This window comes from Homo sapiens, chromosome 16 (assembly GCF_000001405.40).
Source record: "Homo sapiens chromosome 16, GRCh38.p14 Primary Assembly".
Lineage (NCBI taxonomy): Eukaryota > Metazoa > Chordata > Mammalia > Primates > Hominidae > Homo > Homo sapiens.
In genome coordinates this window covers 48,484,783-48,502,714 of record NC_000016.10, presented here as the reverse complement: position 1 = coordinate 48,502,714, position 17,932 = coordinate 48,484,783, and the positions used below count along the sequence as shown (strand labels likewise).

Sequence of the window (17,932 nt, the reverse complement as noted above, 5' to 3'; positions counted from 1 at the left end):
GCTAATTTATTTTCTTTTAGTTTTTTACAGACAGACATCTTATGTTGCCCAGGCTGGCCTTGAACTCATGGCCTCAAGCGATCCTCCTGCCTCACCCTCCCAAAGTGCTGGGATTATAGGTGTGAGCCACTGCTCCCAGCTGCACTTACCTTTTTTCCCAGTCTTTCTATGCCTCCTCTGTGCTGAGCTTTATTAGAGCACTGTATATACTAAGTCCTCAACAAATAAGTAAAAATAACAGTTACAAAATGATATGTAGAGGTTGATCCTAAGGATGCATCTATCTAGAGAATAGGAGAGACTTTTATGTTCCTAGTGTTTGTCTTCATCCTTCCTTCTAATTTTTTGTTTGCTGTTGCTGTTTTTGAGTAGATATATGTAGAGAAAGCCACTGTTCTTGTTTCTCTGAGATTCACTCCCCTTCTTTTGGTAACTACAATCCTGACTTCTCACCCCCACAATCAGGAAGGTGATCATGTGACTTGGGCCTGGCTTATTAGAATCTGCCCAGTAGGTCACAGTGATTGGTCCAGAGATGAGCACATGACTCAACATGATCATGCGACTTGGATGTGGCCTATCAGAATCCTTCCATTAGGCAATAGTGATTGGCCCAGGGATGAACACATGACTCAAACCAGGCCAAATGGGATCCAGTTAGTGGGAAGGAGAAACTTTTTCACAGATGTGAACCCTCAGTAGGTGAACCTGGTGCTGTCGGCAACCAACCTACCTCCCAGCTCCCAGATGGGGGCTGCTTCCTTCCTCATGATGAGGATGGTATGTGAAATCCAGGCTGAAATCCTCCAGACTCTCAACCACAGCTCTGAAGCCTGCCGTCATTGTCCCTTTGGGCCGTGTAAGCCTTCCAGACCCATCGGGCCTCACTTGCTATGTTGCTTGGAGAAAATAACACTGAGGCAGGAACTAAGAACGCGGTGAGGATTGGCAAGAGGAGACCGCAGGGAAGAACCTTGTCAGTCTTGCACTTGGTGGGAAATTAGGCGCTGAAGGCTTTGGACAGCTGCCAGGTTCTTCTGTCCAGCCCCTGTGGCTCTTGAGTAGGTGAAGTTCCCTTGAGTGGGTGGCGGGCAGCGAGGACACGGAAGGGTTAGAATGCTTGAGGAAAGTAGAGAGAAAATGTGGGATTGTTATAAAATGCAGATAGAATGAGATAAGACCTTGCTGAGCCTGAAAAATTAAATATGCACAGATTGACTTCAAGTAGGTCTTTGGCAGGGTTAAAAGCCAGAGGTTTTGCTCCTCACTCTAAGCAGGAAATCGTTTGTGCAAAATAACAGGACATTTAAAAAGACCATTTTTCTGGATTCGGCGAGCACCAGAAGTAGCCAAAGAGGCTAAAGTTACTTCTAAACCCATTTGTTTTAGGTTCTGCTTATGAACCTGGTAGAAACTGTAGGGAAACCCAAGCGGGGTGGGGCAGGGGTGAGACACACAAGTTCCCACCCCACTCTGTGCGCACTCTAAGCCATTAAACCTTCAACCAGCTGCTGACGTCAGAGGGCACCTAATGAAAATGCGTCCGAGACCGGGTGCAGTGGCTCACACCTGTAACCCCAGCACTTGGGGAGGCCGGGGTGGGTGGGTTGCTTGAGCTCAGGAGTTCGAGACCAGCCTGAGCAACATGAGGAAATCCCCGCCTCTACAAAAAAAATAAAAATAAAAAAATTAGCCGGGTGTTGTGGCACACACCTGTAGTCCCAGCTACCTGGGAGGATCGCTGGAGCCTGGGAGGCAGAGTTGAAAGTGAGCCGAGATCGTACCACTACACTCCAGCCTGGGTGACAGAGTGAGACCTTGTCAGAAAAAAAAAAGAAGAAGAAGAAGAAGACAGAGAGGAGAGAACGAAAGAAAGAAAGAAAAGAAAATCGAGAAAGAAAGAAAGGGCCGGGCGCAGTGGCTTACGCTTGTAATCCCAGCACTTTGGGAGGCCGAGGCGGGTGGATCGCGAGGTCAGGAGTTCGAGACTAGCCTGACCAACATGGTGAAACCACGTCTCTACTAAAAATACAAAAATTAGCTGGGCGTGGTGGCGGGCGCCTGTAATCCCAGCTACTCGGGAGGCTGAGGCAGGAGAATCACTTGAACCTGGGAGGCGGAGGTTTCAGTGAGCCGAGATCACATCACTGCACTCCAGCCTGGGCAACAGAGCAAGACTCCATCTCAGAAAAAGAGAAAGAAAAGAAAATATGTCTACATTTTGTTTTTAAGTTGCATTTTGTAGGAGTTGAAACTGGATTCTTCAGGAGCAGTTGCTCAGAAATCTTGAATTTGAGGCCTTTCATACTCATTTGCAGGAAGAAAGTGTTCTCCCCAGGAAAATGGATTGCTCAGCTGAAAGCATAAACTTCTATTTTGATATCTGCAGAGTTCATGTACACGTGGCTGTGTACATTTGTCCTACTGGTTTGGAATTTAGATCTGGATTGATGTGACAGCTTACTGCTGTTTAACACTCTCCTTTCTCTTGCTAAAAAGCTCTTAAATGGTTTTAGAGGTTATTTGTGAGTTATGACATGCTCCTCACTTTTTCAGGGTTATGAAAAACATTGTGTTAGTCATGAGCCTGAAGAATTATAAATGTGTGATTTTAGTTAAGAATGTGCTTTTTATTTTTCTTTTTTCCTATTTACTTAGAAGCTAGTTTTCAGTCTCTGACATCACGTTGGCAGACGCCAGCAGGAAAAGAAAGGGATTTAATTTGGCAGCTTGCCTGGAAATAAGAGAGAAAAGTTCTTGCTTACATGAGTTGCTAGCTTATCCAAGGCTACAAAGAAAGAAAGATTCTTATGTCACTTTTTTCCTTTAAATTTTCTTTAAAAATTTTACCAAAGTAATACAGATACATTTAAAATATATATATATATGTATGTCTCAAAGGATCCAGAAGGACTAATAATGAAAAACAATTGCCCTCCCAAGTCCTCTTCCTGCTCCTAAGAAGGAGTCTCTTTCAACTTTGCCTTTTGATGGATCCTTCCATGCCTCTAATACTCAGCTTATAAAGCTGTTTCTGTGTTTTTTTTTAATTTTTATTTATGAGGTATAATTCACATACCATTAAATTCATCCTTTTAAAGAGTGCAATTCAGTGGGGTTTTGTATATTCATAAAGTTGTGCAACTATCACCACTATCTAGTTTTAGGATGTTTTCATCATGCCAAAAGGAAACCCGATATCCATTAGGCAATCATTCCCCATTGCCCCTCCCCCAACCCCAGGCAACTACTCATCTATTTACTTACTTACTTTATTTATTTATTTATTTATTGCATATGCAAAGTTGGCATCGTAGCTTTATTTGTGCACTGTGAGGGTGAAGGCAATCTATCGTCAACTCTTCTTTCCCTGATATGCTCCAGAATAAAGAGGGGTGGGTGGAACAGCCATGAGCAGGGCCAGTTGTGGGCTATGTGGTCTGTCAGGAGTCCTTAGGGCTGTGGCCCACGTGTTCACATCCCGTTTCAGAGGAGGGGGGCCTGAGAAAAGGGGGCCAGCAGGACCAGGCAACTGTTAAGCTGAAAAGCTGCAAGTTTGATGGGACATAGACTTGGGCAGAAGGGAGATAAAGTCAGGACAGGGCAGGGCTGTGGCTTCACAGACTTAGGGAGGCAGAGCTGCTGGGGAGATGCATTCTTCAGGCAAGCTTGGGCTTTACTCTCCTCAAAGTGGGTTCCTCCGCTTAATGAGCCCTTAATCTCTCCCCAGGAAAGTAGGAGAAGAGAAAACCCAAAATGAGAAGGAACATTTCTGGGCTGGACTGTCTGAGACTGTTTGTCTGAAATAGTCCAGAAAGAACATGATTTCTCAGTTATCTAGCATTGCTTGTTGCAGTCTGGCTCCCATGAACTTAGTGTCCTGGAAGGCTTAAGGGCCTCCTGGTATCCTCCCTATAGAAAGGAAGCCCCATTGGTCATTAAAGATCATCTAGCAGCAGGCCTAGTAGTAGAGCAGGCTGACTTCAGGTTTACTGCTCAAGGTAAACAGTGACTGTGATGAAAGGAACTTGATGTCTTTCCCTCAGCTTAAATTGCACCCCATCTTCAGACCTGGCTGGGCCATGGGTGAGAAGGGCAGAAGCTAAACCCAATGGAAGTCCCCCCACTGAACTCCAGTCTTGCTAATGAGCTTGATCTCCTCCAACACGATGTCCCTGCTGATAGCCTTGCACATGTCACACAGGGTGAGGGCGGCCACTGCAGCAGAGGTCAGGGCCTCCATTTCCACCCTGGTGGGGGCCCCGAGCCTGGCAAGATGCCCAGATCTCCACAGCATGGCATGTGCTGTCCAGCTCCAGCTGCACCTGGACGTGGCTCAGGGCCACGTGGTGGCACAGAGGGATCAGCTGGCTGGTCACCTTGGCTGCCCGGACTCCAGCCAGCTGGGCCACCACCAGGGCATCTCCTTTCTTGAGCTGGTTCTGCTGGACAAGCTTGAAGGCTACAGGCCCCAGGATGACCATGGCTGAGGCCACAGCCAACCACTCTGTGTCTGGCTTCCTGCCCACATCTACCATAGCTTCCCGTCCTTCCAAATCCACATGAGTTAGTTGTTCTGAGTTTAGCTGGTGTCCTGAGGGGGCAGCAGGAGCCCAGGAACCTGGGCTAAGGCACTTTGAGTTGGCATCTGAGTCTGCATGGGAAGTGTAGTGTCTCTGAAAGGAGCCAGAACCTAGCTGCTGCTGGGCTAGAAGAGGGGTCTGGGGTACCCTGTATCCTTTCCATAAAGTGGCCATCTGACTGGAGAAATTCATTCTGGATCTCAGACCTTGAACATGGAGGGGGTCCCAGGAGGAAATGCTTGGATTGGCTGGTGGGGAATCGTGGAACATCAAAAATGTCTTGATGGGGGTCACCCACCGATGAGGATCATGGGCCAGTTCTTCATCTGGGAAATACTGAACATGCCTGCATGCTGCTGCTTCTTCCTGCCCACGGCAGCGCCAATGATTCTCAGCAGCTCCTGCTTGGAGGCCCCAGATCACAGTGATCCCGTAGAGATACCTCAGAGTTTCCAAAGAGGCAGACCTTGAGGTTCCCGTCAGCTGTGATTTGCAGGTGGTTGCAGGTCCCACAGAAATGCTCAGACATGGACATGATGAAGCTGATCTGGCCTTGGAAGCCAGGGATTTTAAAGGCCTTGGCTGTCCTGGATTCCTGCTCTGACAGCTTCTCCAACTCTGGCCACAGCTGCCATACAGTTTCTAGCATCTCCTTATAGCGACCATCTTCTTGAAGTTCCACTTGTTGCCATCAAAGGGCATGTACTCTATGAAGGCCACGTCCAGGGGGAGGCCCTTGATCAAGGCCGCAAAGTCCAGGAGTTCATCCTCGTTAAGGCCTCGCGTCACCACACAGTTCACCTTCACAGGGTTGTAGCCTGGCTCATTGGCCTTGTGGATGCCCTCCATGACCTTGTGGAAGCCTTTCCTGCGGACAATGAACTCAAACTTGGCAGGCACCAGTGTGTCCAGGCTGATGTTGATGGCGCTGAGACCAGCCCTCTGAAGCTGGGGCAGCAGCCGGGCCAGGTTGATGCCATTGGTGGTGACACCAATGGTCCTCAGCCCTTCCAGTCGCTGGAGCTGGGCCACAATGTCCACCTCGTCCGGCTGGATGAGCGGCTCTCCGCCCATGAGCCAGATCTTTTCGACGCCTTCCTTCACAAAAAGCCAGGCGAGGGTCAGGATCTCTTTTGTGGTCAACATCTCTTCTGTGGTCAGCAGGTTGGCCTTGGGGGTCAGCGGGACCCCTTCCTCCGGCATGCAGTACTGACATCTGAGGTTGCACTTCTCCGGGAGGGAGATCCGCAGGTAGCTGTGCTGCCCGCCGAAGCTGTCTGTGAGGAAGGCGGAGAAGGGGGCCTCGTGCTCCCGCGAGAACTGCCTCCACCTGGACAGCTCCTGTGAGGCAGCTTGCGGGGACTCGCCCGGGCGGGGCGGCATCACCGGAACCCGTGAGCTGCAGCTCCGTGGCGTTGGACCTTAGGAGCCGGCGCAGCATCCGGGACAGCGGCCGCGCCACCGTGAAGCCTGATCCCGGCAGAGCTGCGGCCCTCAGCCGGCTTCGGGAGCACACTGGCCGGGCAAAAGCGATTCTCCTGCCTCAGCCTCTTGAGTAGCTGAGATCACAGGCATGCACCACTACGCCCGGCTAATTTTTTGTATATAGAGTAGAGGTGGTGTTTCACCATGTTGGCCAGTCTGGCCTCGAACTCCTGACCTCAAATGCTCTGCCTGCCTCGGCCTCCCAAAGTGCTGAAATTACAGGGGTGAGCCACCGCGCCAGGCACATCTACTTTATGTTTCTATAGATTTACCTTTTCTGGACATTTCATACAAATGGAATCACATAATATGTAACCTTGTATGATTGGCTTCTATCACTTAGTGTAATGATTTCAGGGTTCATCCATGTCGTAGCGTGTGTCAGTGCCCCATTACTTTATGACAGCTGGTCATAAAGTAATGTATGCATAGACTACATTGTATGTATAGACTACATTTCGTTTATCCGTTCATTAGTTGGTGGACATTTACACTGTTTCCACCTGGGGCTATTATGAATAACGCTGCTGTGAGCGTTCATATATAAGTGTTTGTGTGCACATATGTTTTCAATTCTTTTGGAGATATATATACAACTGTTTTTATTCATCCCTTTATACTTCCTGTTATGAGAGATGAGGATTTAGCTTGTTTACAGTATTCTCTTTCCTTCCCATCTCTATCCTACCAGTAATCTATTTTTCTTCTTCCTTTTATTACATTCGTAACTGTAGTAATTGTGATTGATTTTCACTCAGATAACAAAAACCTGCCTACAGCAGCTTAAACACACAGGGAGAAATTTGTACTCACTAAACAAGTCCTGCTTATTGTTGGTTCAGCTGCCAAAAACTGCCAGCAGGGACCCAGTTTAAAATAAAATAAAAATTTAAATAAATTTTTTATTTTATGCCTTCCCTGTCTTTCCTGTCTGCCATCCTTAACAGGCTAGTTTTTATATTCATGCTTGTCTTCATTTGATTACAAGTTGGTGGCCACAACTCCAAACATCACAGCTTCATACAAACAGGAAAAAGAGGAGAGTAGGCAGGAAACAAGAGCTATGTCTGTCACCTTTCATCAATAAAGTACAAGCTTTCTTAGACCTCCTCTCACAAACCCTCTAGCAAAGCAAACTTCCACTTAAATCTCACTGGCCAGAACTAAGTCACATGACCACACATAGCTGCAAGGGAACCTGGAAAAACCTACAAGAAACTGGATTGACTAATTGGCTTATATCAATAGTTCTCAACCCTCGTTACATATTAGAATCTCCTAGGGATATTTTTAAGTGTACGTCTCTGAACATGGTCTTATCCTAGGGTCAGTGGTTCTCAACCAAGGGTAAGTTAGCAATGTTTGTGTACAGTCTTGATCCTTGTAACTGGGGGCGAGGTGCGCCCACCATTAAGTGGATAGAGGCCAGGATGGTGTAAAACACCCTACAACACACAGAACAGCCCCCAACAACACAGAATTATTCTCTTCAAAATGTCAGTAGTGTCAAGTTGAGAAACCTTGCCCTAGACCAATTAAATTATAATCTCTTCTACGTGGTTGCAATGTGCAGCCAGGGTTAAGATTCACTGGTTTCTGAATGATCCATTACATATCATGATTACACCATATTGATGCCCTGAACAAAACTAGGGTTCTGTTACAAGGAAGTAAAGGGGAATAAATATTGGTTATGTAGTGTGTCTGCTCCAGTAACTTTGGTCATATGCTAACAGTTTTACTTCTAATTCTATTAATTATGTAGTGTCTTTTGGTTCCTGTTTCATGAGATGAGAATATCAGCCCCTCACACACTTTGAGCTCTTCTCCCTTTTACTTTTCAACTTCTATCATTTGAAATTTAATTTTAGATTGACAAAGTGAATAGCATTTATTTTCTGTCCTATAATCAAAATTGCATCTATATGTTGTCTAACTACAGATTTTTTTTTTCTTTCTTTCTTTCTTTCTTTTTTTTTTTTTTTTTTTTTTGAGACAGGGTCTTACTCTGTCACCGAGGCTGGAGTGCAGTGGCATGATATTGGCTCACCAAAACCTCCGCCTCCCAGATTCAAGCGATTCTCCTGCCTCAGCCTCCCAAGTAACTGGGATTACAGGCACATGCCACCATGCCTGGCTAATTTTTGTATTTTTGGTAGAGACAGGGTTTCACCATGTTGGCCAGGCTGGTCTTGAACTCCTGTCCTCAGGTGATCCGCCTGCCTCGGCCTCCCAAAGTGCTGGGATTACAGGCGTGAGCCACTGCGCCCAGCCCAACTATAGATTCTTAAAGTTGAAATTTAATAAACAGGATTTATATTATGACAATATAAACGTTGTTCACTGCAGAGCTCAGAAATGTTTTTAAGCTACATTTCTTTATCAGCTTTTGTTTTACCTAGGGTTTGTAATTTTATTTATTTTATGTATTTTTATTTATTTATTTTTTGAGACAGGGTCTTACTCTGTCACCCAGGCTGGAGTGTAGTGGCGTGGTCACAGCTCACTGCAGACTGGACCTCGTAGGCTCAAGTGATTCCTTCACATCAGCCTCCCAAGTAGCTGGGACCACAGGCATACACCACCACACCTGGCTAATTTTTGTATTTTTTGTAGAGATGGGGTCTTGGCCAGGTTGGTATCAAACTCCCAGGCTCAAGTGACCTGTGCCCCCTCAGCTTCCCAAAGTGCTGGGATTACATGTGAGCCAGCCCTCGCAGCCCTTATTTTTTTTTCTTTTTTTGGGGGGAGTGTTAGACTTAGGCCATTTTATTTTTATGTTATTTATTTATTTATTTATTTATTTATTTATTTATTGAGGCACAGTCTTACTCTGTCACCCAGGCTGGAGTGCGGTGGCATGATCTCAGCTCACTGCAACCTCCGCCTCCCAGGTTCAAGCAATTCTCCTGCCTCAGCCTCCCGAGTAGCTGGGATTACAGGCATGCACCATCACACCTGGCTACTTTTTGTATTTTTAGTAGAGACGGGTTTCACCATGTTGACCAGTCTGGTCTCAAACTTCTGACCTCGGGTGATCCACCTGCCTCGGCCTCCCAAAGTGCTAGGATTACAGGCGTGAGCCACCGTGCCTGGCCAACTTAGGCTATTTTAAAAGGTATCCATATAACCCTACTTCTATCTGGTATCAGCAAGGAACAAACAAGGACTAAAACTAGACAAAGTTTCTTGGAACTAAAAGCTTTCCCAATCACCCTCTAATTCCAATGAGATTTTTAAAAACTGTGGAATCTAATTCATTTGAAACTGGGCTTACACAATAGAGTTCTAATACTATAATTCTATGTATCTAGGTAGGTTTCAGTAAATAAAGAAATACATATTTGGTGAAGTTGTTAAATGTTAAATTTTTGTTTGGGAATGGTTTTACTGGATGCTTCTAATGTAAATAGGAGAAAAATCTTTCGTTGACTCATTTGTCAGATACAATGTGATTTTATATATTACGCACTGGTGAAGTAGGGATATAGTGATGGATGAGCTAGCCCCACGTGACAACTGTAAATAATTTTATTTGCAGTGGATACTTCTCATTATTGACTGCTGTATAGCCAAAGAACATTAAGTGAAATTACATTCAGACTTGGTGTTACTGGGAAGCAAGGTCTCCACCATTGTGAACATCTGGGTGCGGCTGCAACAGGAACATGCTGTGACCTCTGGGACATGAACGTCTACCCTGACTGCAACTCCACATTGCAATTCCTTCTAGAATTCGGTGGTAGTTTAAATAACTTTACGATAGGCTTCCCAGAGCTCCACAGAGCATTGTCGATGACTGCCTGGATACCCAGAAGCTGTATAATTCAATCTTATAGGTAATATAATATCACCTCTTCATAGATTATTTTTGCACGTAGTATAGTTGTATTTTCTGTTACTTTTGATTGGTCAAATTTTTAGTGAGGTAAAATGTACATAGAGTGAAAGACAGATCTCAAGTACAATTCAAGGGGTTTTGACAAATGTATACTCCTATGTAACCAATGTCTTAATTGGTTAATTTTCTCTTTTGGGAGTTTTGGTAATATTAATTTGAGTTAATGCCCAAAGATCTCTGAAAAAAAATTTTTTCTTTCTTCCTATGAAAGTTTTTTTAATTGTGATAAAATCCACATAACACGATCTTTTTGGAGTTCCTAAGCATGATCGTTGGGTTTTCATGTGCATGTGTGAGATGTGACTCCCTCAAGCCTTGTTATGACATCAGCACATTACCAGTCTGACACACACAGAAAATACACATAACAATATTTACCATCAGTGACACTTAGTACATTTATAATATTGTGCAACCATTACTACCGCCTAGTTCTAGAACATTTTCACTACTTTAGAAGGAAACCCCATACATATTAAGCAATCACTCCCCATTCCACCTTCCCTAAGCTCTGGCAACCATTCATCTGCCTTCTGTCTCTGTGGATTTGCCTAGTCTAGATATTTTATATAGAATCATACTATATTGGCCTTTTGTGTCTGGCCCATTTTTTTTCACTTAGCATAATTTTTTCAAGACTCATAAATTTTGTAGCCTGTATCAGTACATCATTTCTTTTTATGAGAGGATAATATCCCGTTGTGTGTTTATACCACAATTTATCTGTTTATGTGTTAATGGACAGTTGAGTTGTTTTCACCTTTTGGCCACTGTGAATAGTGCTGCTGTGACCATTCATGTAAAATTCTGTCTGAACACTTGTTTTCAACTCTGAAAAAGATATTATTTTGTCACCCCTATTGGGACCTGCTATTTTGCTCCTTTACTGCCTGTTACTTGTTCTAAACAAAGCAAAACAAAAAGAGCAAGTCAGTGCTGAAACTGCCAAGGAAAAAAAGGTAAACAATGGTCTTGCTGTTTGACATGATTTTGGACAACCCCCTTGGCCAGTGCTCAGGAATGTGAAAATCATAGACATGGAGAACAGAAAACAGTGCATTCTTAGTTAACAAAATCACAGACTTTCCCAGCATTTGGTGTGAAAGGCTTTGATTACTATGTCTGTGTCCAAAGGGGATTGTTGTTTAAACCACAATGGCTGCTTAGTGGCTGGTTGCAAATGAGGTTGAAATGGTAAAAATGATAATTGCCCAGTGAGCAGTCCTGGCAGTGGCTAACCTTGCAGTACAGTGGGCAGATTTTAGGAAGGAGGGATGGAATGAGCTAGAGAGGTCATTTGAGCTACCTGGTAATGGTGTTACCCAGGGTACACACACCTGACTGGATGCAAATCCCAATAAGTTTCCAGTGTCCTCTAAACTACCAACCCAAAGTGATTACCCAACCCTAGGAGTCTAAGAAGTTCAAGAACTCTGAAAAAGAAGGGGTAATCCCCAGTGCCCACTCAAAACAAAATGCCCATTTGGTCAGTACAGAAAAGCAAATGGGACCTGGAGACTGTAGTTGTAGAGCAGCAGCATCTCCCACCACTGGGGCTAAAACTATCACTGGGTTCCTGATGTTGAGATGTGAATGTGGGAACTGGCTTCCCCAGCACATTCTCCTCCCTTTCTGTCCACTCAGATCACGAGAAATAGTTTGGCTGCACCAGTCAGTGACAGCCTCGGGATGGACCAAGTCCTTTATAATCTGCTACTTAGCTGTGTGATCTTGGACAAGTTACTTAACACATCTCAGCCTCAGTTTCCTCAGCTGAAAAATGGTGTTAATAAGAAGGCCTGTCACCACCAGGCGCAGTGGCTCACACCTGTAATCCCAGCACTTTGGGAAGCTGAGGCAGGTGGATCACTTGAAGTCAGGAGTTTGAGACCAGCCCGGCCAACAGGGTGAAACCCCATCTCTACTAAAAATACAAAAGTTAACCAAGCATGGTATGGTGGCTCGTGCCTGTAATCCTAGCTACTCGGGAGGCTGAGGCATGAGAATCCCTTGAACCCAGGAGGTAGAGGTGCAGTGAGCCGAGACTGTGCCACTGCGCTCCAGCCTGGGGGACAGAGCAAGACTCTTGTTTTAAAATAAAATGTGTGTTGGGGGGGTGCTATCACTTAGGGTTAATGAGAGAATTCAGTTAAGCCATATGGAGCACTTAGCAGAGTTTCAGGCATACTGTCAGTGACCCCCCAAAAAAACCCAAAAACAGTTATTATTGTGCTGCTGAAAAAGTGGGGTGGGCACAGCAGCACTACAGATGTGATATCAACTGCCTGGTCAACCTGAGCCATCCCTAAGGGCCCAAAACAGGGAGAGGGGTGAGAAGGAACAGGGTATCCAGATCCCCAGTGATCATGGGTCACTATCAAGAGAAGGCAGCCTCTGCATTTACTGCTGGCTATATACCCATGGCCTGCCCTGAAAAGCCACGTGGTTCACTCTGGGCAAAAGTGTTCCAGCTTACTGGATGCACCAGTAATAACTGTAATACTTCATTGTAATAATTCATATGTAACTTAAAATGTGTACAATCATTCATTCATTTATTGATCAGTAACCACTTACTAATCACCTACTGTGTGCCAGCCACTAGAACCTGGGGTTACAGCAACAAATAAGACACACAGTGGCTGGGTGCAGTGGCTCATGCCTGTAATCCCAGCACTTTGGGAAGTCAAGGTAGGTGGATCAGTTGAGCTCAGGACTTTGAGACCAGCCTGGGCAACATCGTGAAACCCCATCTCTACAAAAAAATACAAAAATTACCCGGGCATGGTGGTGCACGCCTGTGGTTCCAGCTACTCGGGAGGCTGAGGTGGGAGGATCACTTGAGCTGGGGAGGTTGAGGCTGCAGTGAGCTGAGATGGTGCCACTGCACCCAGCCTGAACAACAGAGAGAGACCGTCTCAAAAAAAAAAAAAAAAATCACACAGCATTCCTGCTGTCATGGAGCTTATATTCTAAAGGGGCTTTGCCACATGATGCCTGTGTCCTTAACTTCTTGTCATTTAACCTTTTGATGCCTCAGTTTCCTAACCTAGGACATGGAGATAGTAATAACAGCCACCTCAGAAAGTTGTCATGAGTTTTGAATGTGTTACTATCATAAAGCACTTAGAACAGTGCAAAGCATGGAGTAAGCACTGTGTAAATGCTGACTATCATTATTCAGAGGAAGGCTGAATGAGAAACAGGTTTGGCGAAGAAGATCAAGAGTCTCCTTTGGGTGCTTGTTAATGCTGAGGTATCAGCTGAATATCCAACTTAGGATTATTGATCGGGAGTTCAGATATGTCTGGAGGTCAACAGACAGGTCTGAGTTGGAGGTATAAATCTAGGGGTAATTGGTGTATTGTTGGTATTTAAAGTCCTGAAATTAATTGAGAACAGGCTCAGGGACTCACACCTATAATCCCAGTATTTGGGAGGCCAAGGTGGGAGGATTGTTTGAGGGCAGGAATTTGACACCAGCCTGGGCAACGTAGCAAGACCCCATCTCTACAAACAAAAACTAAGAAAAATCAGCCAGGCACAGTGGTGTGCACTTGTAGTCCCAGCTACTTGGGAGGCTGAAGCAAGAGAATTGCTTGAGCATAGGAGGTGTTTTGTTTTGTTTTGTTTTGTGTGTGTGTGTGTGTGTTTTGTTTTTTGGTTTTTGGTTTTTTCTTTTTTAGACAAACTCTCCCTCTTTTCCCCAGACTGGAGTGCAATGGCACGATCTCGGCTCACTGAAACCTCCACCTCCCAGGTTCAAGTGATTCTCTTGCCTCAGCCTCCTGAGTAGCTGGGATTACAGGTGTGCACCACCACACCCGGCTAAGTTTGTATTTTTAGTAGAGGCAGGGTTTCACCATGTTGGCCAGGCTGGTCTCGAACTCCTGACCTCAGGTGATCCGCCTGCCTCAGCCTTCCAAAGTGCTGGGATTACAGGCGTGAGCCCACTGTGCCTGCCTGAGCCCGGGAGCTTGAGGCTACAATGAGCTATGATTGTGCCGCTACATTCCAGCATGAGCAACAAAGCAAGACCTTGTGTCTTTTTTTTTTTTAAGCAAATTAATTGAGATCACCAAAGGAGTAGAGATAGAGAAGAGAAACATCCCAAAGACTGAGCCCTGGGGCACCCCAAAGTTTAAGACTTGGGGCTTTGAGGAGGAATAAACAAAGGAGACTGAGAAGGGGCAGCGAGAGAGATAGGAAACCTCAAGAGTATGGGGTTCTGGAAGCTGAGCGAAGAAAAGCTTTGCAAGAAAGAGAGGAGTCAACTGTCAAATGCTCCTGAAGGCAAAGTGAGACAAGAGCTGAGAGTGGTCATTCAATGTGGCCATAGGATGGTCACTGGTAACCTTGGAGCAGTTCTGGTGAACAGGTAGAGACAAATGCTGTGTTGGAGAATATTTAAGAGAGAATGGGAGGACTTGCTGAGCATAGTATAGATATCTCTTTTGAGATGTAAAGGAAAACAAAGAAATGAGAGGTAGAAAGGAATATGAGGTCAAGGAAATTTTCTTCATTTGTTTGTTTTCACTTCTGTAAGATGGGCTTTATTTCACAATATTTGTAGTGATATGTATGTGTATTTGAAGTGTTCCTTTATGGGACATTTCAACAACGTAGTTTTATCATGGAAAAGTATAGAGATCTAGGAGAAAATGTCATGTTCTATGTCACACCATTGCATGAGGTTGGAAGTCATTTTAAATATATTGAGTAAAGTAGGGAAATTAATTCAAGGGTCCAAAAAGTTAGGCCATTGGTGTTTAATAGTTGATGTTACAGAATCATTGTAGAGCCTCGTACTTGAACATACACATTAGTCTGGTGTGACATATACGACGGTACATTGCATCTGAAAGAGAAGAGGAAAGCTGATAACTCAGAAGGAATAGAAGCAAAAATTGAAAAGCTCTTACTTGAAGGATGATGGGAAAGGGCTTTATGAAAGTCTTGGACTCTCAATGATATAAAACAGAGTGGTCTCTCTGGAGTCATCCTACAGAGGTGGTAAACATAACATAACATGCACCCTCATGTGCAAAGTTTAGAGCTTCCCTGATGAGGTGGGGTGGGATTCTTACAAGTAAGACAAGCAACAAAAGCCTGAAACTACTTGTGGTGAGGAAGCAAGGATGTTTTCAAAGATTTGGGATTTCTGTAGGAACACAGAAGGAGGCCAGCATGTAGGGAAAACTCCCACCTAAAAGGGTGACCATGAAATGAGTTGAGAAGGAAAATCCGGCTGGGCAGTGACTCACAGCTGTAATCCTAGCACTTTAGGAGGCCAGGGAAGGAAGATCAGCTGAGCCCAGGAATTTGGAACTAGCCCTGGCAAGAGAACGAGACCCCATCTCTACTAAATAAATAAATAAAATAAAAATTAGCCAGGGGTGGTGGTGCATGCCTGTAGTCCCAGCTACTCAGGAGGCTGAGGTAGGAGGATCACTTAAGCCTGAGAGGTCAAGGCTGCAGTGAGCTGTGGTTGTGCCACTGTGCTCCAGCCTGGGCAACAGAGCAAGACCCAGTATCCACATAAAAAAAAAAAAATTTATTTAGCCGGTGTGGTGGTGTGCACCTATAGCCTCAACTACTCAGGAGGCTGAGGCAGGAGGACAGCTTGAGCCCAGGAGTTCAAGACCACCCTGGGCAACATAGTGAGACCCTGTCTCTACAAAAAATAAAAAACTAGCCAGGTGTGGTGGTGCACACTCTAAAAAAAAGAAGAAGAAGAAAAGAAGAAGATGAAGAAGGAGAAGAGGAAGAAGAAGAAGAAGAAGAAGAAGAAGAAGAAGAAGAAGAAGAAGAAGAAGAACCCATAATCTCAGCCTTTTATTGAAGAAGCCAAGTCTTTAAAAAATTATCAAGTCCTAAAAAGGGAATGTTAACACAATATGTTCTATAAGATGGTTATAAGCCCATGTGAATTTCCAGTATTATTTACTAGAGAAAATGCTATCTAGTGATTGAACTGAAGTAGTGGGAGAGTTTTCTGCTAAGATTTTGCCCAACAAGCAAAGTTCCAAACTGATTAATTTTGCCCTGCAGGCCATTCAATCTGCTCACACTGGTTCATTAGACACTCAGAATTTCTGCAGTTTCTGCTTGTTCAGATAGTTTTTGATTGGAAAGTAGTGCTTGATCCATGTGTTAAGCAAGAGATGTCTGTAATAGAACTAAACTCCTAGTGTATACACAAGCTTACTATCTGTCAGCGTTAATACCCAAGATGACACATCCACCTGCCTTTATTATGAGGAAAGTAGGTCTTGCTCTTAGACTAAAGAAATATTGGGGAAAGATTCATGCCTGTAATCCCAGCACTTTGGGAGGCCAAGATGGAAGGATTGCTTGAGCCCAGGAGTTCAAGACCAGCCTTGGCAACATGGTGAGACCTCATTTCTACCAAAAATACAAAAATTAGCTGGGTGTGGGGGTGTGTGACTGTAGTCCCAGCTACCTGGGAGGCTGAGGTGGGAGGATAGCTTGAGCTGAGAAGGCAGAGGCAACAGTGGGCTATGATCACACCACTGCTTCAGCCTGGACGACAGAGCAAGGCGCTATCTCAAAAAAAAAAAAAATCCCTTAAGAAATATTGGGGAAAGGCCGGGCGTGGTGGCTCACGCCTGTAATCCCAACACTTTGGGAGGCCAAGGTGGGTGGATCATCTGAGATCAGGAGTTTGAGACCAGCCTGATCAATATGGTGAAACCCCATCTCCACTGAAAATACAAAAATTAGCCAGGCGTGGTGGCAGGCGCCTGTAATCCCAGCTACTCGGGAGGCTGAGACAGGAGAATCGCTTGAAACTGGGAGGTGGAGGTTGCAGTGAGCTGAGATCATGTCACTGCACTCTAGCCTGGGCAACAGAGCTGGGATTACAAACACCTGCCACCACATCTAGCTAATTTTTGTATTTTTAGTAGAGACGGGGTTTCACCATGTTGGTCAGGCTGGTCTCAAACTCCTGACCTCAGGTGATCTACCGGCCTTGGCCTCCCAAAGTGCTGGGTGAGCCACTGTGACTGGCCAGATTTGAGGGGAGGAGGAAATGAGGTCATGTGTCTAAAACTCAACACAGGTCAAGTGCGGTGGCTCATGCCTGTAATCCCAGCACTTTGGGAGGCTGAGGCGGGTAGATCACCTGAGGTCAGGAGTTGAGACCAGCCTGGCCAACATGGTGAAACCCTGTCGCTACTAAAAATACAAAAATTAGCCGGGCATGGTGGTGCATGCCTGTAATCCCAGCTACTCGGGAGGCTGAGGCAGGAGAATCACCTGAACCCAGGAGGTGGAGGCTGCAGTGAGCCAAGATCGCACCACTGCATTCCAGCCTGGGAGACTAGAGCTAAACTCCATCTCAAAAAAAATTAAAAAAGAAAAAGAAAACTCAACACAATGCCTAGAATACAACCAATTTGTCCACAGTCATTACAGACCAAGGCCATGAAAGCCCAGGTTTGTTGACAACATTCTGTTAACATTCAGTCTTCTTTTCATTTTGCAGCCTGAAAATTTGTTCTTTTGGTTGAAACCCTGTGTCTAGAATCTAGCAGGAGATGCTTCAGGATAATGAGATGCTTCTAGGGAAATAGAAAATTATAAAATTCCAACCCACTACTTAGAAATGCAAACACATTTTATTTATTCATGGTCACTAATGTCTTTATTGGAGCTGGAACATCTAACACATTCAAACAACACATGATTAGTCTCCATAATAGGAACAAAACAAGCTCCCGGTGAATTAATCAGCTAATCATGTTGCAGAGGGTGTTCAGTGCTTTTCCACCATAAATGTAGTGTTCGAAGGGTCCCCTGATACCTTATGTTCATCCACACATGGGCTTCACCTGTCCCAGCACCTGCTGGTGTCAGATGTGTCAGCATCCTTGATCACCTCAGCCTGACACCCTCCAGGTACTGGGCTCAGCTCCAGGCCCTTGGGGCACCAGACCTT

General features: G+C 45.0%; 1 non-coding gene and 1 pseudogene across 1 annotated transcript; one reads left to right on the top strand and one right to left on the bottom strand.

Annotated features, from left to right (window-relative positions):
- Positions 3,289-6,100, bottom strand: MOCS1P1 (molybdenum cofactor synthesis 1 pseudogene 1; annotated as a pseudogene).
- Positions 10,214-10,317, top strand: LOC124903786 (small nucleolar RNA U13). The gene has a single exon (XR_007065232.1). It is a non-coding gene; the product is annotated as a small nucleolar RNA U13 (small nucleolar RNA).
- Positions 10,318-17,932: the final 7,615 nt, after the last annotated feature.